This window comes from Homo sapiens, chromosome 11, assembly GCF_000001405.40.
Source record: "Homo sapiens chromosome 11, GRCh38.p14 Primary Assembly".
Classification (NCBI taxonomy): Eukaryota; Metazoa; Chordata; class Mammalia; order Primates; family Hominidae; genus Homo; species Homo sapiens.
The window spans coordinates 31,610,382-31,633,126 of NC_000011.10; the positions used below are offsets into that span (position 1 = coordinate 31,610,382).

General features: G+C 33.4%; 1 protein-coding gene across 3 annotated transcripts in view; it reads left to right on the forward strand.

Annotated features, from left to right (window-relative positions):
• ELP4 (elongator acetyltransferase complex subunit 4) overlaps positions 1 to 22,745 on the forward strand; it is a 280,558-nt gene that overhangs the window by 100,615 nt on the left and 157,198 nt on the right. For all 3 annotated transcript variants that reach the window (NM_001288725.2, NM_001288726.2, NM_019040.5), the window contains exons 6-7: positions 16,729 to 16,813; positions 21,836 to 22,024. In NM_001288725.2, coding sequence (NP_001275654.1) covers positions 16,729 to 16,813; positions 21,836 to 22,024 — 274 coding nt within the window. The remainder of the gene's footprint in view (positions 1 to 16,728; positions 16,814 to 21,835; positions 22,025 to 22,745) is intronic.

A 22,745-nucleotide genomic window follows, 5' to 3' on the forward strand; every position in this document is an offset into this window, starting at 1 on the left:
GATTCAAAGGGTACATTTGCAGGTTTGATACAAAAGTATATTGCATCATGCTGAGGTTTGGGTTTCTGTTGATCACTTCACCCCGGTAGTGAGCATAGTACCCAATAGGTGTTTTTCAACCCTTGCCTCCCTTCCCCCCTCCGTATTCCCCAGTGTCTATTGTTCCCACCTTTATGTTCATGTGTACCAATGTTTAACTCCCACTTACAAGTGAGAACATGCAGTATTTGGTTATCTGTTTCAACATTTCACTTAGGAGAGTGGCTGGGCCTCATTTTGACCAATGGAGAGAAACTGCTTGCTTGCATGTTTGCCTTGTTTTTACCTCCTTTCTGTCCTTTAAAGGCCATCAGGTACACAGAGTTAAGTGAATCATCTTGTTCCTCATTTCATGCATGGTATCCTATCTCACTGGTATGCATGGGTTTTGTTTTATTATTTTCCACCTTATTCACCCATTCCTAATCTCAGTCATCTCCTCCACAGTTATGTTTATGTATATCCTTCCAGATTTCTGCCCTTACTTCAATAATGTAATCTTTGACCCTTGACTCTTCTCTCTCTCTGCATCCAATCTATTAGCATGTCCTGTCAACTGTGTCTTCAAAATGTATCCAAATACCACTTTTGCAACCTTCAACTTTACATGCTAGCCTACATTACCCACATTTCTTGCCACAGCTGTTGGGATAGCCTCGTAATTGGTCTTGCTCTTTGCTCTTTGGTCCTTGCTCCTTGTTGGCTCCTGTTTTTCTTCAACATAGCCCTAGTGACTTTTTCAACATAGTACTGTCCAGTAGAATTTTCTGCAGTGATGGAAATTTTCTGTATCTGTGCTGTGTAATGTAGTGGCCACTAGCCACATGCAGCGAATGAATACATGAAATGTGACTAGTAAGACCAAGGCACTGAATTTTAATTTTATTTTTCTTTAGTTAATTTAAGTAGCCATATATAATTAGTGGCTATCTTGTTAGGCAGTCCAGTTTTACAGTATGAGTCGGCTCTTATCACTACTCTGCATCAAACTCTCCAATGATTCCCCAACTCATTCAGGATAGTAAATCCACGACCCTACAAGGCCTTACCTAATCTGATCGCTATCTCTCTCTCTCATCTCACTGGATCTCATTGAGGTTGGGGAAAGGGGAAAGGGAATATCAAGAATGTTTTCCAGGATTCTGATGTTAGACTTAGGATAGTCCAATCTACTGAAGTAAGTAAACATAATCATATGTCCGATAATATTTATTGAAAGCTTTTTCCAAATCTCAACACCGTCTATGAACTTGAGCACCTGCTATGAGCCCAGCATTATGCTAAGTTCTAGATTATTGTAGTGAACAAAGCAGACGTTAACCTTGCCATTGTGTAGCTTACGGTCCAATAAGAAAGCACATAATTTTTTTTAAACAAGCAAACAAATATATATGTAGTTAAATATAAAGAAAAAACATTTTCTATGGCAGAAGCTAAGTGGGCAGAGAGGGCAGTGGGTATACCTTGAGTTGTGTTCACTCAAAGTCTTTCTAAGTGGAAACATTTTAGCTGAGACCCAACTGAGAAGAAGGTAATCATGCAATGGGCACTGGGCCAAGAAGTATTATTGTCAGAAGGAATAGCAGATGTGCTAATAAAGGAAGGAACTTGGTGTTTTCAAGGATTTAAACGGCCAATGTGGCTGAAATAGTGTGAGCGATGGAAAGAGCTATGTGGAGGTGAGTTCAGGTGGCAAAGAAAGATCAATAACTGGAAGGGGTTTGGGGTGAAATAAGATTTTTTTTGCTCTGTTTTATTTAATTTATTTAAATGTCAATGCAAAAAAAATTAATAAAGAGGGAATGGATGAAGATGTAGAAAAGAAAGCAGCAGTTTCTGAAGATATGTACTGATGACTTCTCTTAGTGAAATAATAGGCATAGCTATCCACTAGGGAGTGGTTACTTACCTCTTGGGAGTTTGGGTTGAATCGAGAAACTTAAAAAGGGTTATTTCATAGACCGGAAGAATACACTGACTACAGAAATCTCAAATGGTTGGAGTGGTGCCAGTCTATCAGATTGTGTGACTTTCTTGCTTCTGTGCTAAGATTCCTGGGTTGAAATTTTGCAAGGTGGAGTGAGTAGGACAAAGAACAAAGAAGTTTAAACGATTAAAAACAGTGAACAAAATGTTGGATCATGAACTTTAGGCTGAAGAAAAACAACTGAAGACAATTGCTGTTGATACATATGTATATAAGGAGAAAGAGAAGGGGCAGTACACTGGTAGTAGATTTACTAATCTTAATAGTGGAGGTAAATGAAGAAAGCAAGCTACTAAAATAAGTAATATTGGGTGAGAATAAGATGTTTGAATTAGGACTGTAAGCCAGGTGCAGAGTCTTCAGTTAACAGTAAGGAAAATGTCCAGGAGCTTGATAAAGACAGCAACTTAAAAGGAGAATGGCTGGGGGTTAGCTATATGTAAAAGAAGCATGGATTTGTTTGTTAGTTTCATTTTCCTAGGAAGTGGAGGAGGAGTGATTTGAAAGTGATACTGGAAAACAAAGAGAATACCAACCAAATGTCCCAAATATTGAGGAAAAGATTCTAAGCTGCAGCTTTATTTGGTTAGGCTCAAGTGTCTACCACCTTTCGAGGGAAATTCCGTCGTGCTTTGGAGGGTGGTGGGCACTGTGGCTTTTATTAGGGTCTAAGGCTAATGGAAGCTGTAAAAACTGCAGCAATGGCTGTAGAGAGGTGGCTCTGCAGAAGTTTTTTCTGTATAAGAGATCAGGGGTGGTTACTGGGCTTTGCATCCATGATATAATGGAGTGAAAAAGCAGATTATAGAAATAGGATAAATAGCAGAATCCTATTTACATAAAATTTTGTATAGCTTATCCCAAATTCTTTTCTAACACTAATTCAGGAGATGTTAATTTAGCTTCCAAAAACCTAGTGATATGCAGTCAAATAAGCTCATGAAAGACTGCAAACTAAATCCCCTTCCTAGATTATCTAAGAGATTCACAGTATACATTAGTATTTGAAAGGCTGTGAGGGAAATGCCAAACATTATTGAAATACATAGTAATAATAATCCTCTTTACATTTGTTTATTGGTAAAACTCTTCTTTTTAGAATCAAAAACATTTTTATCAGCATACTTCTTAATATCCTGCAATCGTTTTTCTCAGTAAGAAACAGGACTGGTATAGAGAGATGTCTTACAGGATATTCACCAAACTGTTAACAATATTTGCCTCTGGGTGGTGGATTCCGGATAAGTTTTTTTTTATTATTATTCTTTGTATGTTTTATACGTTTGAATTTTTATGATGAACAAGAGTCTTTTTTTTTTTTTTTTTGAGATGGAGTCTTGCTCTGTTGCCTAGTGCAGTGGTGTGATCTCGGCTCACTGCAGCCTCTACCTCCTGGGTTCAAGCAATTCTCCTGCCTCGGCCTCCTGAGTAGCTGGGATTACAGGCGCACACCACCACACCTGGCTAATTTTTTTGTATTTTTAATAGAGATGGGGTTTCACCATGTTGGCCAGGCTGGTCTAGAACTCCTGACCTCAAGTGACCTGTTTGCCTTGGCCTCCCAAAGTTCTGGGATTACAGGCATGAGCCACCGTGCCTGGCCTGAACACTTGAGTCATTTTTATAACAAGGGAAGGGATTTCAAATTATGGGCCTAATCATTTGGTAATAAAATAGTAAATTCTTACCTTATATCTCACATCATATTATATTTCCATAGAGTTAAAGAGATAAATATAATAAATGAAATTATTAAAATAATCGCAGAAAATATGAATGAATGTCTTAAATTCTTGGAGTTGAGAAATAGCAATGAGTATATCTCATGCTCAGATCTAAATGCCATTCTCCATTCAAAGGCACTGGGACTCTTTGGAGAAATGGTTGATGGAAGAGAAGGGAAAAGATATGCCTGGAACATCTTTTTATGTGTAGAAGTTCTTAAAGAATGATGATGGCATATCAAAAGGACACAGAAGCCAGCCCAAAGGAGTTCTCACTGGGCATGTTGGCCAATTTGAGCATCAAAATAAATAATGATAGCAATGGATTTAATAAAATAGGAAGCTATAAGTACATACTGATATAAATAAATAAATGAATAAATTGAAAGTTTTTTGAGGTATAAGATAACTTACATAGCCAGAAAGTACCATCCCACAAAATACTTATTAACTACAAAGGGGAAAAGAATAATTTTACAGTGGAGAAGACTAGAAGAATTGCCTTAATCAAGTTAACATCACCAGTAGTGGGGATGATCAAAAGCATGTATCACCAGATAATACGCAATGAGAACTCAGCAATATTTCTGTGATATTTCCACCAAAAATTAATAATTCAAATGTAATCACGAAGAAGCATCACACAAATCCAAATTGGAAACATTCTACCAAACATCTGGACTATAATCCTCAAAAGTGTCAAGATCATGAAAGTTAAGGTAAATCTAACGAACTTCCATATTGAAGGAGACTGAAGAGAACAAATGACAACTGAATACAACAGGTGATTCTAAGCTATTTCGTTTTGCTGTATAGGATGATATTGGAACAACTGCTGAAACTTGAATGGAGTGTGAGGATTAGATGGTAGTCTCAGTTTCCTCCTTTTACCAGTATGCCAGGTCAGATGGTTGTATTGTTCTCCTCTAGAAGAATGTCCTTGTTTGTAGGAATCATATCCTAAATTATTAAGAAGTGATAAGTCATCAGGTCAGCAACTTACTCTCAAGTGGAATGGGAAAAAAAAGATTTTTTGTTCTATATTTGCAACTTTTATGTAAGTTTGAGATGGTTTCAAAATTTCAAAAATTACATACATGCATATATTTCATTAAATTATGGTTATGTTTAAATGGGTAAGAAAAAATTGAATACCCTACTTCAAAACAGGCAAAAGGTTAACGTTAAGAGGATGTTCTCAGAAAAAGATACAGAAATGACCAATAAATGTCACTACATCAAAAGAAATGTAAACCAGAACCAAAGAGATAGCACTTAGCATACAGTAGCTGGCATAGTAAAGGGTTAATGAATTTTAGCCATCATAATTGTTATTATTTCTGTTTATATTTTGAAATTTATTATAAGAAACGTATTTTTATTAGAAGATAAATCAATAAAGTTATTTTTACTTCGAAAAAAATGTAACTACTTGGGCAAATATTTTTCATCTGAACACAATCAGCTTTTTTTTTTCCCCTATCCCACTTTTTCATTTAAGAAAAGTTTATTTGGAGATCAATTCTCCTTAGATGTAGGCCCCTAAATGAACAGTGGCTATATTTCATGTTTCTCACACACAACTTAGCTCACTTTTCAATGTGAGTTAAAAGATTTGATAACATATTGTCCTTATTGCTACTCACTGAGCAAGTGGTAATTTTGTATTAGTCCCATCCCTTCATACCTCTTTAATTGCATACCTTGTTCCATCTAGTCATCCCACCCAATCACCTTCCATCCTGCAACTGGAGTGTTACTATATTATATTGACTTCATGGGGATTGATCATAACTAAGTTAATGAGAACTGATTTTTCTGTCAAGTACTATTTTTATTTTTTCATATTACATTTGTTATCTCATTTAATTCTTCAAAAATCCTATGACATTAGTAGTATCCCCAGTTTGAAAAGAAGGAAATAGAAACAACAGATTTAGTTTACTTAAAGTTACACAGGGACTAAAACTCAAGGGACCCCAGACAGCCAAACTACTCTTGAAAAAGACCAAAGTTGGAAGTTTTATACTTCCTAATTTCAGAACATGTTACATAGCTACAGTAATTAAAACATTGTGGTATAAAGTAAAAATTGCGTATAAGGACAGATACACAAACCAATAGAATAGATAGCCCAAAAATAAATTTTGGTATATATGGTCAAATAATCTTCAACAGGGTACCAAGGTCACTCACAAGGACTGTTTAACAAATGGGAAGACTGGGTATCTACATGCAAAAAAATAAAAATAAAAATGAAGATAGATCCCTGTCTTACATCATATGCAAAAATTAAAATGGATTAAAGACCTAAACATAAGATTCAAAACTATTAAAATCCTGGAAGAAAACATAGGGGAAACATTTCATAATCTTGGATTCGGCCATTATTTCTTGGATATGACACCAAAAGCACAAACAATAAAAGCAAAAATAGACAAATAGGATGACATCAAACTTAAACTTTTGTGCATGAAAGGACTTAATCAACAGTGAAAAGGCAACGTAAGAAATGGTAAAAAATATTTGCAAATTATATATCTCATAAGAGGCCAATATCCAGAATAAAGAACTCCTACGACTTGACAACATAAAAACAAATAACCTGACTTTATAAAATAGGCAAAGGACTTGAATAGACATTTCTCCAAAGATGATATACAGAAGGCTAACAAGCATATCAATAAGTGCTATCACTAACCATTAGACAAATACAAGTCAAAACCACAAGATACCCCCTCACATCTGTTAGGATAAAAATGAAAAATAGGAAAGGAAAAAGTAAAAAAGAACAGAAAAGATCAAGTGTTGGTTAGGATGTGGAGAAATTGGAACCCTTGTGCACTATTTGGGTTGTAAAATGTGTAACTGCTATGGAAAACAGCATGGCAGTTTCTCAAAACCGTATGATCCAACAATCCCACTTCTAGGTATATGTCCAAAAAAATGGAAAGCAGGGATTTGAAGAGATATTTGGACACCCATGTTCATAGCAGCATTATTTGCAGTTGGCAAGAGGTGATAGTAGTGCAAATGTCCACCAACTGATGAACTGATAAATAAAATATACCATATAATGAAATGTTATTTAGCCTTAAAAATGATGGAAATACATATTTCATATATAAATACATATGTAAAAATACATATTACAACATGAGTGAACCTTGACATTGTACTAAGTGAAATCAGTTACAAAAAGATAAATATGATTCTACTCATATGAGATATCTAAAGTAGTCAAATTTCACAGAAACCAAAAATGGAATGGTAGTTACCAGGGGTTGAGGGAAAGAGGGAAGTGAGGAGTTGTTGTTTCTTGTTTCATGGATAAGCAGTTTCAGTTTTACAAGATAAAAAAGTTCTGGAGATCTGTTTAACTTAATGTTAAGTTGTGCAACATATATACTCAAAAGTGGTTAAGATAGTAAATTTTATGTTATATGGGTTTTTTAACCACAATTAAAAAGAAAAATGGGGAAAAACAGATTGGATTTGAAAATCAGCATATTCTGTTAATAGAAGATAAATCAAAACCAAACAAAGAAATACTCAAAGTAAAATGACAAATAAAGATATTCCAAGCCAAAAAAAAGTTAAAAAAAAAAAAAACACCCCAAAAGCAAAAACAAAATGAGATACCACTTCACATCCTCTAGGATAGCTAGAATTAAAGAATCAGATAATAACAAGTGTTGACAAGGATGTGAAGAAATCAAAACCATCATACATAGCTGATGAGAACATAAAATAGTAGTCTTTTGGACTGGTACACTCTGGCGTTTCTCAAAAAGTTAAAGTTACCATTTGACCCAGAAATTCTACTCCTAGGTATATCCCCAAGAGGATTAAAACAGAACCTTTTTTTGGTACATTTATGTACAAAAACCTGTACATAAATGTTCATAACAGCATTATTCATAATAGCTCACAAGTGGAAACAACCCAGATGTCCCTCAACTGATGAGTGGATAAAAAATGTTATATCCATACAATGTAATATTTATTTCACCATAAAAAGGAATGAAGTACTGATACAGGGTACAGCTCAGATGAATCCTTTAAACATTATAGTAAGTGAGAGAAAACAATTGTCTTAGTCTGTTTTGTGCTGCTATAACACAATACCGTAGACTAAGTAATGTATAAACAATAGAAATTTATTTCTCATAGTTCTGAAAGTTTGAAAGCCCAAGGTCAAGTTGCCAGCATGTTTGGTGTCGGTTAAGGACCGAGTCTCCACTTCCAACACGGTAGTTTGAACACTGCACTTTCCAGAGGGGAGGAACCCTGTTCCTCACATGGCAAAAGAATGGAAGAACCAGGAGAGTGAGAAAGGACTGAACTCACCCTTTTGTACTGGCACCAATCCTGCCCATGATGGTGGAGCCCTTATGGCCAAATCACCTTTCAAAGGTCCCACCACTTAATACGGTAACAATGGCAACTAAATTTCAACATGAGTTTTAAAGGGGACCGACATTCAAACCATAGTACCCTTCATAAAAGACAACATATTACATGATTTCGTTTGTGTGAAATAATAATATGAAATATAGAGAGGCAGAAAGTACATTAATGGTTCCTTAGGGCTAGGAGAATTGGAGGGAGTTGATAAAACAGGTATGAGATTCCTTTTTGAAGGAATGAAAATATTCTAAAATTATGGTAATACTTAAATAGCTGTCAATATACTAGAACTATTGAACTGTACACTTTCAGTGGGTGAATTGTATGGTACCTGAATTCTATCTCAATAAAGTTGTTACCAAAAAAAAGAAAACAGACCAATTGAATTTAGCCATTGGAGGTCATCAGTCACCATAATAAAAGCAGTTTTAATGGATGGGATGGGGGTGGTCACATACTACTTGGAATGGATTTAAGTGAAAATGTAAGGAGAGGATTGGAGGCACTGAATTTTAGAAAATTTAAGGGGTTTGGTGCAGAAAAATAGAGTAGTAGCTGGTAAATGAGATGGGACAAGTGGTGGTTTTATTTTTTCAAGGGAGAGATAACGATATGTTTATATATTATAGGAAACAATCAGTAGAAAAGGAGAAGTTAATAATGAAGGAGAGAGGAGAGAATTGCCCAAGTGATATTTTATGGTATGAGGCCCGTGCACAGGTGGAGGTACTGGGTTGGTATAGGAGTTTAGTTAGTTCACATATGGCAGCCTGTGAGAAGACAGAGTATATATTTGGCTACACGTGCTGAGAATGTGGTGTCTTAGTCTGTTCAGGCTACTATAACAAAAATACCATAAACAGCAGCTTATAAATAACAGAAATGTATTTCTTATGGTTCTGGAGGCTGTGAAGTTCCAAGATAAGGGTGCCAGCATAGTCAGATTCTGGTGAGGGCCCACTTTCTTCATAGATAGGTGTCTTCTCTGTGTAACCTCGGGCATGGCAGAAGAGGAATACAGGTTCCCATGGACCTCTTTTAAGACAGTGTTAATCTAATTTATGAGTGCTCCACCCTCATGACCTAATCACCTCCCAAAATTTTCACCTCTGTTTTTTATTGTTTTTTTTTTTCAACTTTTAAATTCAGGGGTGTAAGTGCAGGTTTGTTACATAAGCAAACTTGTGTCATGGGGGTTTGTTGTATAGATTATGTCATTACTCAGATATTATGCCTAGTACCCATTAGTTATTTTTCCTGATCCTCTCCCTCTTCCCACCTTTCACCTTCCAAAAGGCCCCAGTGTGTGTTGTTTTCCTTCTTGTGTCCATGTGTTCTCAAATTCTCACCTTTTAATACTGTTGCATATTAGAGCTCAACATACAAGTGTTGTGGGGACATGAGCATTCAAACCATAGCAGGTAGAAAATGTGTGCTAGGTGTCCCTTCTGGCTGCTTCTGTTTTCTCATTGAAAGGTTATAAACTGATAATGAAGATGGAGGAAGAGATATTGGAGGTTTCAACAAAAAAAGAAAAAGAGAAAGTATGACATTGTCATCTAGGAGAGTGAGGATATGTATAGTGGGAATAGCCTTAAGGGCTTATTGAGGTTTGTGGTCATGAAGTTAAAGTCATACCAGTCTGTTTCTCTGGCCATTTTTAGCTACATTGAGGCAAGTGTGGAATAGACAGAGAGTTGTGTTTAACAAGAATAGCAGTAAGTGTGACAAAGCAAGAGAAGAGCAAGGAAGTGAGGATAAGGATTGACCATGGATTGAGATGGTTAATTAATTGAAAGAGCTTATCAAAGCAGGTGAGTGAAAGGTGTGGTAGACAATGATATAGAGATCTCAGCAGGGTCAAATGATTGCCTATGGGTACTAGGTGGAAAGAAAGTAGTGGTTATGTAGAGGGGTGTGCATGAAATTGAGATTATAGAGGTATGGCAGTTATTGATAATTACATGGTCTAAAAAACAACCATGGGGATGATCAACTTAAATAGAATGGAGATAAGATTGTTGGAAGAGAGATCAAAATACTGAAAGGCCAGAGTGTTAGAAAGGTGAGTCATGACCCAGAGTTGGGTAGATGACAGCAACAGTGAAGGGTAGTAGGAGACATAGTCTAAAACCTTGTTTACATCAGTAATTAAAGGAAGTCAGAGTGATGTCAAGCTGAGTTATTTTTCATGAAGGATCATAACCCCTCTTAATAGTATCCCTGTCAGAACCTGCATTGCTTAGACCATACATGTAATTTGTGCATCCTCATAGTTCTTAGTATTTTCCTAGCTGTGGCTCAGAGGTTTCTGCTGGTCATTGTTCTTCTTGGTGCCCTTAATACATTCCTACACTTTATATGTTCTTAGTTGAACATCCATGGTGAAGATAATCAAACTCAGTATTCTTAGCTGAAAATCATCAGAGGAGAAAAATCAGTAAATGACAGCCTTCAGGGTAACAGTAATGAAATTTTTAACTTGAAAATTACTTGTGAATAAACTTCACGGTCTCTATAGTCACATGCAAATTATATGCTAATATAACTTTAACTCAGCAAACTATTTTATACAATTAGTTGAGACACTTGATATTTTGCCTACTGCCTTACAAGGGTATCTCACTATTTGTCATAGATGAATACCTAAAATATATGTGTAAATAGAATTTTGGTAATACAAATCATACTTTCTCATTTATTTGCATAATAATGTCAAAAATGCTTCATCTTCACTTTAAATTAATCCTAATTGGGAGTGATAACAGCTTCTCGTCCTAAATGTTTATATCAAGTAGTTAAATCAATACTTAAATATATCAGAAGTTCTTATTTTTAAAAGCCAAGCAATGACTGATTTTAATGAGAAAAACCATATTTGAAACCATATGATTTCAAAGTCAGAATGGACAACATAGATTATCTAATGCAATCCCTGGCTTTACAGATGAGAAAATTTCGAAGACCAGAACAGAAAATTTAAACAATTTACCTCATACCACACATGTACATGTTGACACAGGTAGAACTAGAACCCAGATCTTAAACCTACATTCCAACTATACAATACTCATATCTAGTTTATATATTTGTAAGCATACACTTCACAGTATTGAGTTTTCTTTATACATCGTGTACCAAGTACATTGTAAGTAAGGCCTTGGTGGAGGCCTCCATCAGTGCAACTAAAAGAGAAATCTCTTCCTAAAACTATGCACCTGAATGCTTCATTTGGCTATGTTGAATGGAGCCATGTTCAGACCTCCTCTGGACCACATTACCACAGGCTTTTCATTGAATCTAGATCTCACTGTGGGGCTTTATCTTAGTATAGCCAAAAGAGCAGGTAATTTGAGTTCTTGAAAGTTTGAGTTTTAAGTGCCGTTTGTGTCCCTTAATTGTCGCACAGCCTTGGGCAAATTATTTAGCCTCAGAATGGTCTTAAAATCTCAACCATAAAATGGGGAGAATGACTATACTTAACCTCACAAGGTTATTCTATTCATCGAATGTGGTGACTGTGATACAAAAGTGTTTTGATTATTTACTATGTACCAAACACTTTATCAGTTGATATAATTAAAATCAGGTAGTCTTATTGAAAATCAACCTAAGAGCCTGTTATCTATGTATAGATTTTTCACTTATCAACAAGTTATTTTAAAATCACATGTGCATGATCTTATTTTTGTAACTTAACCTTTTCACTGATAAAATATTGTCTCCTGTTACCCAGGGTTTTTTGTTGGTGGTGGCAGTGTTGTATATTGTTCTTTACTCATATTTAAATATTTTTGTATTAAACCCCTCAGTTGAAGTGACTTTTTTTCTTTTTTCTTAATTATTAAAAGATTTTTAAGTGTTTCTTTGAGGACTTTTGCTAAGTGTTCCTTTGTTTATTGTTTCCAAAACTGTAGTTTTTGTCTGTTATTTATCATCTACCTGTACTTGATTTCTTTTGTAGAATACTACATCTTCTTTTGTATAATACTACATCTGATTCTTTTTTTTACAGCTAATTTTTTTATCTTTCTTAATAAGATTGAATGGCAACACTACTTTTCACAGCAAAACCAATGCAGTTTGTTGATAGGAATTAAAATTATCTGATGCAAATGTGCTTTACACCTCTTGAGGAAAATTAGAGATGGGGATAGAATATTGATAAGCATGAGTTTAATTTTTTTCTATCATCTCTAAAAAATATGAAACTTGGTCGTCAGAAAACAGGTTTACATTTGTGTCATTTGGCCCCTTTTATCCATGTTTATATATTAGTATAAAGAAATAAATTCTTACTAAACAACATGATAATATTAGCAGAAAAGCATGAATAATGCACATGGAACAATTTTACTTTTTTAACTAAAGAAAATATTAAATGCTTGATATTTTAAAGGTAAAAAGTAAAGTTCTAGTAATTGTCTTTATGTTCTTTGTATAGCTAATAGTTTTAAAGGCACATTGTAGAATCTCAAAATAGATCATTATAATATAAAAGTTGTTGAAAATATATGAAATTCAGGCAAAATAGTATACAAATTCATATAATGTGATCACAGAATGATTAGAAATGTGCCACTTTTGAAGGATGTTTTAAATAATTTGATAACGTAATCTTTGTTGAATGTTTGGAAACATTAATAAAGAAGCCAGGATCATATTTTTAACTGGGTTTACTTCTTGCCAACTCCTGTTTTATCAGTGCCTACACTACTAAACACACACACAAGAGTAAGCATCCTCAAAAGTAAAGGATTTTAGTAACAAACCAAAATTTTAGATGACAATAGAAGATATTTATTTTCAGCAAATATATATATATATATATATATATATATATATATATAAAACTAGAAACATTGCTGGCAAAGAAACATGGAGATTAACAGTACTTAGTATTTTATTATCAATATCATGTAAATGATTTCAGTTTTAAGTGATTTAATCCCATATATTCAAAAATTAATATTCACAATTGATAATACCTAAATGTATTGATTTATTGCATTTTATTTTGTTACCAAATAGTTTATTTTTCTAGAAATCTAATTAGAGGAATTTATTTTATTACTTATAAAATTTTAAGCATTGTTGATGATTGACTTGTTTTATGTCAGGGTTAAATAAGAAATTAAGAAGTATTGGCTTTGCATCTTCCTTTTTATTCTCATATCAAAGAACCCCCCTATTCTGTGCAAAAATGGTAACAATCAACAGAGTAAAAAAAAAACCTATGGAATGGGGGTAAATATTTGCAAACCATATGTCTAATAAAAGGGTTCATATTCAAAATATTAAGGAACTCAAACAACACAATAGCATGAAAACAAATAACTCAATTAAAAAATTGGATAAGGACCAAAATAGACATTTCTCAAAAGAAGCCATACAGATGGCCAACACATATATGAAAAAGTGCTCAACATTATTCATCATCAGGGAAATGTACATTAAAAAGACAATGAGGTTTCACCTCACACCTGTTAGAATGACTGTTATCAAAAAGACAAAAGTGTTGGAGATGATATGGACAAAAAGGAACCCTTGTATACTGTTGGTGGAAATATAAATTAGAACAGCCATTGTAGAAAACAGTATAGAGGTTCCTTTAAAAATCAGAAAGAGAACCACCATATCCAACAACCCCAATTCTGAACATTCAGTCATTTGACACTTATGAATGGAAATACATTCTGAGAAATACATTATTGGACAATTTCATCGAGTGTAATTACACAAATCTACGTGGTACAGTCTACATACCTAGGCTCTATAGTAGTCTCTTGGGCCTAGCCTATAAACTTGTGCAGCATGTTACTGGACTGAATAGGCAATTGTAATACAAGTATTTGTGTTTCTAAACACAGAAAAGGTTCAGTAAATAATAGTCTAAAAGATAAAAAGGGGTACACCTGTATAAGACACTTACCGAGAATGGAGCTTACAGGACTGGAAGTTGCTCTGGGTGAGTCAGTAAAGGGGTGGTAAGTGAATGTGAAAGCCTAACATACTACTGGATACTACTGTAGACTTTATAACTGTACACTTAACGCTACACTAAATTTACTAAAAATATTTTCCTTTCTTCAATAAGAAATTCACCTTAGCTTCTGTAACATTTTTAATTTATAAACTTCTACATTTTAAAAACATTTTTGACTCTTGTAATAACAGCTTAAAACACACTTCACACAATTCTACTAAAATATTGTTTCTTTATATTCTTATTCTATATGCTATTTTTAATTTTTTTACTTTTAAAATTTTTGTTAAAAACTAAGACACAAGCACACACATTACTCTAGGCCTGTGTGGGGTCATGATTATCAATATCACTGTCTTCTACCTCCACATCTTTTCCCACTGGAAGGTCTTCAGGGACAGTAACACACATATAGTTGTCATCTCGTGATAAGAATGCCTTCTTCTGGACTACCTCCTGAAGGACCTGGTCACCTGAGTCTATCTTATTGTTAGCTTTTTTTTTTTCCAATAAATAAAAGAAGTATACTCTAACAATAAATAGTATAGTAAGTACATAAGCCAGTAAAGTAATCATTTATTATTATTATGTACAATACATAATTATATGTGCTGTACTTTTTAGGACAGTTTGTTTACACAAGCATCACCATAAACGTGAGTAATATGGCTACAACATCACTAGATGATGGGAATTTTTCAATTCTATTACAATCTTATGGGGCAATTGTTGTATACGTGGTCCATCATTGACCAAAACGTCCCTATGCAGTGCATGACTGTATATCTAAAGGAAATAAAATCAGTATGTTGAAAACATATTTACACTCCCATGTTTACTATACCGTTATTCACAATAATCAACATATGGAATCAACATAAGTGTTCATCAAGGGATGAATGAATAAAGAAAATGTGGTGTACACACACACAATGAACTTTTAACCTTCAAACAGAAATCTTGTCATTTGTGACAACATGGGTGAAACTGAAGGACATTATGGCAAATGAAATAAGCCCAACACAGAAAGATGAATATTGCATGATCCCCTGTTATTATTATATGAAATAATAAGGGTTTGGGGTAGAATTATTATTAGTGGATTAGAATGCATTGGCTATATTTTTTATCCACTCTCCTATAACCCATAGTGACATTCATCAGATCGTTGGCTGGAATTCATTTCATAATCTGAAAGCTTGCAGCTTTTACCACTTGTGCAAAGCAGATTGATCCAGATTAGAATTGAATCTACTGCACTATGTTCTGAAAAGTTGATCTAGCAGGGATAGATGTGTGTTAAGATATGAAATAGTCACAAAATTGCCCTTACAGAATATTATTTTTGCACACGTTTCCACACTCATGAAAAAAAGTGTCTATGTAATCTACAGAATTTTCACTGAAAATGGAGAAATAACTGTATGAGAAATAGCCAAAGTACCAAATTTTTCATTATCTGGAGCTGTATTTGTTTTGTACACAACAGCATTCTTTTTGTTTGTTTTGTTTTTGCAAGATAGACACTTTTGGTTTATTGTGGCTGTTCAACTACATGTTTACAGAGATGTACCTCTATGTTTCCTGAACCACCTACCATTGATTTTGCACACTAAGCAGTCTGCTATGTTTCCTAACATTTTATATTCTTTACTGCTGCATTCATGCTTCAAATTAGATTTCATTCTTTCTTTGGATATTTCTTCTGCCTATGTGATTGCTTACTTAGGATCACAGTAAAGCAAATACTTGCATAATTTTAAGGTCACCCACAGCTTTTACAGCATTAGGCACTTCAATGTCTATGGGATTGCTATGCTCATGACATTATCATGACATTAATGTTCAGTCATAGCACACAGATTGTCCATTATGCAGAATCTTAACTTCAGATAATGTAAAGCAGATTTTCCTCATGCTTACTGAAGATTCTTTGGGATATTTCATAGCATTTGTAAAATATTTTAAAACAATAACATTAATGTTATTATTTATATGAGAAATAAATTTGGTTTTCTTCTTAAATTCATCCATTTATTGTCTTCTTTTAACAAGGGAAGTGAAAATCATACTCACTTTTCTTCGTGTGTCTTAAAAAATCAAGCTTTAAAATTATTATTATTTTAGAAGTTTGTTCTAAGAAAATTAACTTTGATGGAAGATGAGCTCAGGTGATCAGGACATGGATTCAGGTGTACTTGGCATAGCAGTTCATTAACTATGTGTTAATTATGTATGATTACTCCTGAAAATCTATAGTGGCTTCATCTTTTAGGTTGCTGCATTAAATCATTAATTTTCTTGGAGGTAACTAAGCCTGACATAATTAAGTTATCTTAGTCTCCACAGGTTTTTATCTTCCTATGATGTCAGGAACACTGAGCAAGTTATAATAAGGCATTGTAACTTATTCCCTGTATGTATTGACTTTATATTTTAGGATTATATAATACTGTTTTGACATTCTTAAGTAATCTAATAAATGTATGCCTTTTAATTATTTACTTAATGTTTTATCATAGATTGTGTACTTCTTATGTAATAACCCATTTATGTATTTGAACCACTTCTTTTACCAACAGTTCTTTGACCCCTGGCTACACAAAGCTGCTTCAGTTTATCCAGAACATCATTTATGAGGAAGGATTTGATGGATCCAATCCTCAGGTATTAAATAGCTTCAAAGTCTTTTATAATTATTTATATAATGTTGTTTTCAAATTCTCTGGGGGGGGGGGCGGGAACCCAGAAGTTTTAGAATAATAAACAGTGAACAAGCTGTTTTCAAGCACAGAACATGTACATAAGCAGAGCACAAGCAGCCTTAGTTTGACTGTTACTGTGTATTTAGAGTTTCAGCTAAGTTCTCAGTGGAGGCACATAAGACATACACATACTTTATCAACATCATTTTTAAATATGCATTTGTAGCATTTGGGATTAAGTAGCTGCATTTTGAGAATTACTTTTAAATCTGCAAGGCTTGTACTTTTCTATTTAAATTGTTCCTGTTTCTGACATTCAGGCCTTATTTCAAATTACCTTATGAGTAAGAATTATGTTAAGATTTTATTGTATTATACTTTGTTTTATTGAATTAAAAATACATTTTTATTTGCCATATTAAATATTTTATAACAACGATTTCTCTGTAGCTCTAATTTTTAAAACTTCCTCCAAATTTCCACTAATAAAGATGTTCTGGTTAGTTTAGCTTAAACAAAGTGAGGAAGATTTTATTTCTACATATCATGCCTTTCAAAATTCTTCCACAGTGATTTTAATTGCTTTTGCTACTAAATGATTTGCATTACATTTGTATTATTTTAGCAGAAGTATTTCTAAAGCACCATTATTTTTATTGAAGAAGACAGAGAAGCTGAAAGTCTTATTTTTGGCACTATCAGCTACATTTGTGCTCAACTCATGGATTTTTAAATATTCTTGTAAACTTTATTATTATATTTAACAGGTTTTCCATGGCAAAATAAATTATTTTTCATTTTGTTTTGATTGCCAGTTTAATTGCAGATTGGAAATACTTATGTGTGTATGATAAAGTACAGTCATTTATTTATAGGTGACTTTTCATGTATGTCATAATTTTTGTGACGGCCTTTAGTATTTAATACAATTTTATTTTGCTCAGTGTTGCTCCATTTTTGGCCCTACCTAAGATTTATGGGTACTGTGTCTTTCCTTTGGTGCCAGTGCTTGTCTGGAGAGGTAAATTGGTCCCTGACAGACACCTATCCCCACTTGCTGTGGTAACTATGGAAACAGGCATGTCATAACAGTTCCAATGGTACAGTGTGCAGAGCTGCTCTTCTTGCAGGATGATGATGACACATCTTCTGAGAGTAAGAAATTTTATAGAATCCCAAAAGCAAAGGTAATAGCAAAAGGAATACACACACACACACACACACACACACACACACAGATATACCTTAAGAATCCTTAATAAGTAAGCTAGTATAGGAATAGAGTAAAACATTTGTTTTCTTAGTTGTTTATTCGATGATGAAAACACTATTTTCAAAAAACAATTTTTTTTTCACAGAAATTGATAGACACCAAACTGGAGCTGGTTTGGCTTTCTGAACCAGAGATTCTATAATTAATGACTTTTATAAAGATTAAACAGGGTTCAGGTAGACATTCCTATGGTGAATACCAAAACTTTTTAAATTAAAATATACCAATACGTTATTATAGAAATATACTTACAATTTTATTGCAACTAAAATATAATGAGTTTTCTTATCTTTAAATTAATTGTACTGTTTGCTAAATTACTTAGTATATATATCTGTCTCAGAAACTTCAGATGAGTTCTAGAAGCCAGAGAAATACGCCTATAAGGCACTACTTCAAAAAATATTATTCCTAAGTCAAAAATAATGTTCTGACATTGAAATAAATGTTACATTTTTAAAGAAAGTTTTTATCTTTTTTTTAACGTGTTTTCAAATAAACAACTAATTTGAGACAGCATATAGAAATAGACTCTAAGGAACAGAATATTGTATACTACCTTATAATTAGCCTTGGTAGTAAGTAAAGTAGTGTAGCTCATCTGTAAAAATAATTAGAGTGCAGACATTTACAAATTGCGGTCATAATTTCATTTAAGTTGTTATTTTTAAATATCTTAGAAATATATGATAAAAATGAAATTTGAACATGGATTTTACTTAGAATACCAGATTAAATATTTTGGATGTTCTCGTAGGAATAAAACTATTTATTGTACAGCTACAAGGTTCTTTTTTTTAATCTTATGCCACACAGTATGCCCCATTATTATATGGCATAGCAAAGGAATTATATATCCTAAAGGACACAAGAGATTTATAGTTCAGCCTTTGTTTTTGCAATTACCATTATATTTTTTAAAATATAAGTGAAGTATTATGTTCAATTATATCTGTTGTGCTGGGTACCCACCTCACTTAAATATCTTATCTCTCATTCATTTTTTGGCTTAATATTTTCATTCACTTGATATACATATATCAGTGTATCTGTCAGAGTCATTAAACCTCTGTAGTTCTCCTAATTTCATACCTAACAGCATTTTTGTTGTAAACTTTTGTCAAGTACTTTTTAATACAATAATAGATAATGGGACAGTGGGTTAAAATACTGTTGATCTTTAGTTTCTGAAATGTTAACAGAGAAAACAATATTATCCTGCTCTCCTTTTACCTTTGCGTTTCATTGTACTATCTAGATTTTTTTTTTTTTTTTGTATGTTTCTCTCCCTTTTTCCAGAATGCTCTTTCTGTTGGGAATCTAACATGTTTGTTATCATGAGATAACAAATTTAGAGATAGCAAAATGAACTTTAAATTCTTGCCATTTTACTTAAATTCTGAGGTTTTAAATAATAAAGAAAAAAGAATAACCCATCATATTTTACAGATATCTTACACTAATTCACCAGAAATGTATTTATACTTCTAACCTAAGCCCTGGTACATCTCATTACTTCATTTCATTCAAGTAATGCAGAAATAAAAAGAAAACAATTTTTGTGGACCATTGAGGATGATAACATAGGGTGTCTTAGGTGGTTGTCTATCATAACTTTAACACAATCATTTAAAAAATTGAACCAGCTGCCTACATAGTACAATCATGTTTTAGGTCCTTAGAGTCAGGAAGTTTTTTTCTAATGTGCTTATTCTAAAATCCTTTTTTTTTTTTTTTTTTATAATTTCATTCTTATAGTCTTATCCAGGCCATTATATCCCTTCAATTGTATTGAATTATAGAGCAACAATGTTATCTTCTCTCCTTTTCATTTTTTTTTTTTAATGGAGTCTCACTCTGTCACCCAGGCTGGAGTGAGGTGGGGCAATCTCAGCTCCCTGCAACCTCCGCCTCCCAGGTTCAAGCAATTCTCCTGCCTCAGCCTCCCAAATTGCTGGGACTACAGGTGCGCACCACCACACCCAGCTAATGTTTGTATTTTTAGTAGAGACAGGGTTTCACTACGTTGGCCAGGCTGGTCTCAAACTCTTGACCTTAGGCGATCTGCCCTCCTCAGCCTCCCAGTGTGCTGGGATTACAGGTGTGAACCACAGCGCCTGGCTTCTCCTTTTAATTTAAAATGAATAAAACTGGCTGGATGCAGTATCTAACACCTGTAATCCAAATACTTTGAGAGGCTGAGGCAGGAGGATTGCTTTAGTCCAGCAGTTCAAGGTCAGCCTAGGCAACATAGCAAGACCCTGTCTCTACAAAAACAATAAAAGAAAAATTAGCTAGATCTGGTGGCACATGCACGTAGTCCCAGCTACTCTGGAGGCAGAGGTGGGAAGATCACTTGAGCCCAGGAGTTCGAGACTACCATAAGCTATAGTAAGGCCACTGCACTGCATCTGGGTAACAGAGAAAGACACTGTCTCAAAAAAAAAGAAAAAAGAAAGAAAGAGAAAACAAAGTCCTAAGTAATGTGTGTGTCTTGTCCAGAATCATACATCTTCTTAGTTACATAGTCCTGACTGTAATTCTCTCTTATTCATTTACTAGCTTATGTTCCTTTAGGCTTTCATCTTCTAACATTTCAGTGTTGTATTCATTTTTCTTCCTTTCCATGGTCAATAAATTCTGCTTGAAAAAGAAATACACAAATTCAGTTTTCATTTGTAATATCAGGGAAATAGATATATTGTGTTAGACAATAACTAGTTGGTTAATAAATTTTATCAGTGGTATTTTATAGCAATAGCAAGTGATACATTTTAGGAATTTGTTTCATCAGAAATCACTTGTAGAGTAGCATGCATTCCAAATTATGGCTTTAAGAGCAAACTTACTTTTCCCATCAATTCTAATAATGAATTTTCAATTATTTGCACATGCCAGGTTTTGTTAACGCCTTCTTCTTTTGCCCAGAAATTTTGCTGAATTTCTAAGGAAAGTATTTACAAAACATTTATTTAGTTAGAATAACCCAAACAGTAGAATTTATTATAAACACATCTGTTGTTAAATGTTTATTCACAGTGATGTATTCACAGTTTAATTAATAGTTTTTAAATGTTCTTTTCCCAAGAAATACAGTCACTTATTGTGACCTTACTGTCAGTAGGCTCAGGTTCTAAATGTTCACCTGTTAAATTTTACGAAGAGTGTTGAACTTAAATTATTACTTTAAGAGCAGCTTCAAGAAGAAAAACCAGAGGCAAATGTAAAATATAAAAACAAAAAGTCATATATCTTTAAGCTTTTTTCAAAGAAAAGATCAGGCAGTAGGTAGGATAAAATTAAATGAGAAATATTGAACAATTTATAGTTTACTGAAAGAATTTTCTAATACTGAGAAGGGGTTTGCAAGCATTCTAGTTTAGATTTCATCATTATTATCTGTTTTGTTAAATATTTTAAGTGCATTAAATATAATTCTTAGAGTTGTTGCTGTTAAAATTTAGATACAATTTAAAGCTTAAGGCTTATGATACTCTTCAGATTTTTCAAAAGTTAAAGTTATTTTTTATAATCTTGTAATCTAAACAGTTTCATTTATACTGCTTTATGTACTAATAGTACATAAAAATTTTTAACACATCTATTGACATTGTCTCCCTGATGTTATAAAGATAAGAACTGACAGATAAAAGTGGTATTCTATTGATTAACAAAACTTTATATGTTTGCTTTTTTCCCACTTTCTTTTAGAAAAAACAGAGAAACATTTTAAGAATAGGAATTCAGAATCTTGGCTCACCTTTATGGGGAGACGATATTTGCTGTGCAGAAAATGGTGGCAACAGTCACAGCCTTACCAAGTTCCTCTATGTTCTCCGTGGTCTTCTGAGAACCTCTCTTTCAGCCTGCATCATCACAATGCCAACACATCTGATCCAGGTACGAAATTTCCAGAACTACTTTTTCATAATTCATAGTAATATAGTATGACATTGTGGTTTTAGTTTGCATTTCCATGATAACTAATGATGTTGACCATCTTTTCAGGTGCTTTCTGGCCATTTGCATGTCTTCTTTTGTCTGTCTTTTGTCCATTTTTTTATTGATAGTCTCATTATCAATTTGTAAAGTTCCTTGATATTTTAGCTACAACTTGGTAATAATTTTCCTCCTATCTATGACTTGCTTTTTCTATTTTCTTAACAGTGTCTTTTGAAGAGCTAAAGTTTTCAATATTGATGAAGTTTAATTTATAAATTTTTTAATGGTTAGTGGTTTATCTCCCTCACACCTCCAATCTTGACAGTCTTTTTCTCTTGTGTTTTCTTCCAAACATTTTATAGTTTTTTCTTTTACTAATGAATCAATGTATTTCCATTTGAATTTTTTCTACAGTTTTAGTTCATGTTCTGAAACAGCTTTTAGTTTCTTTAATTAATATTCTAATGTAAAGTATATGTTAATATTAGTATAGTTAAGTACATATTGTCTGCCTCAAGCATGTGATTTCATATAATCTTATATATCTAATACATTGTAGTCTCCATAGAGGGAGGGCCTGATATTTATACTTTTCTTTATAGGCTTTATGGTAATAACATAATATTAAACGTGGTTTTAAAATTCTTAACACAGTACCTAGGCTTTTCCTAGATATTCA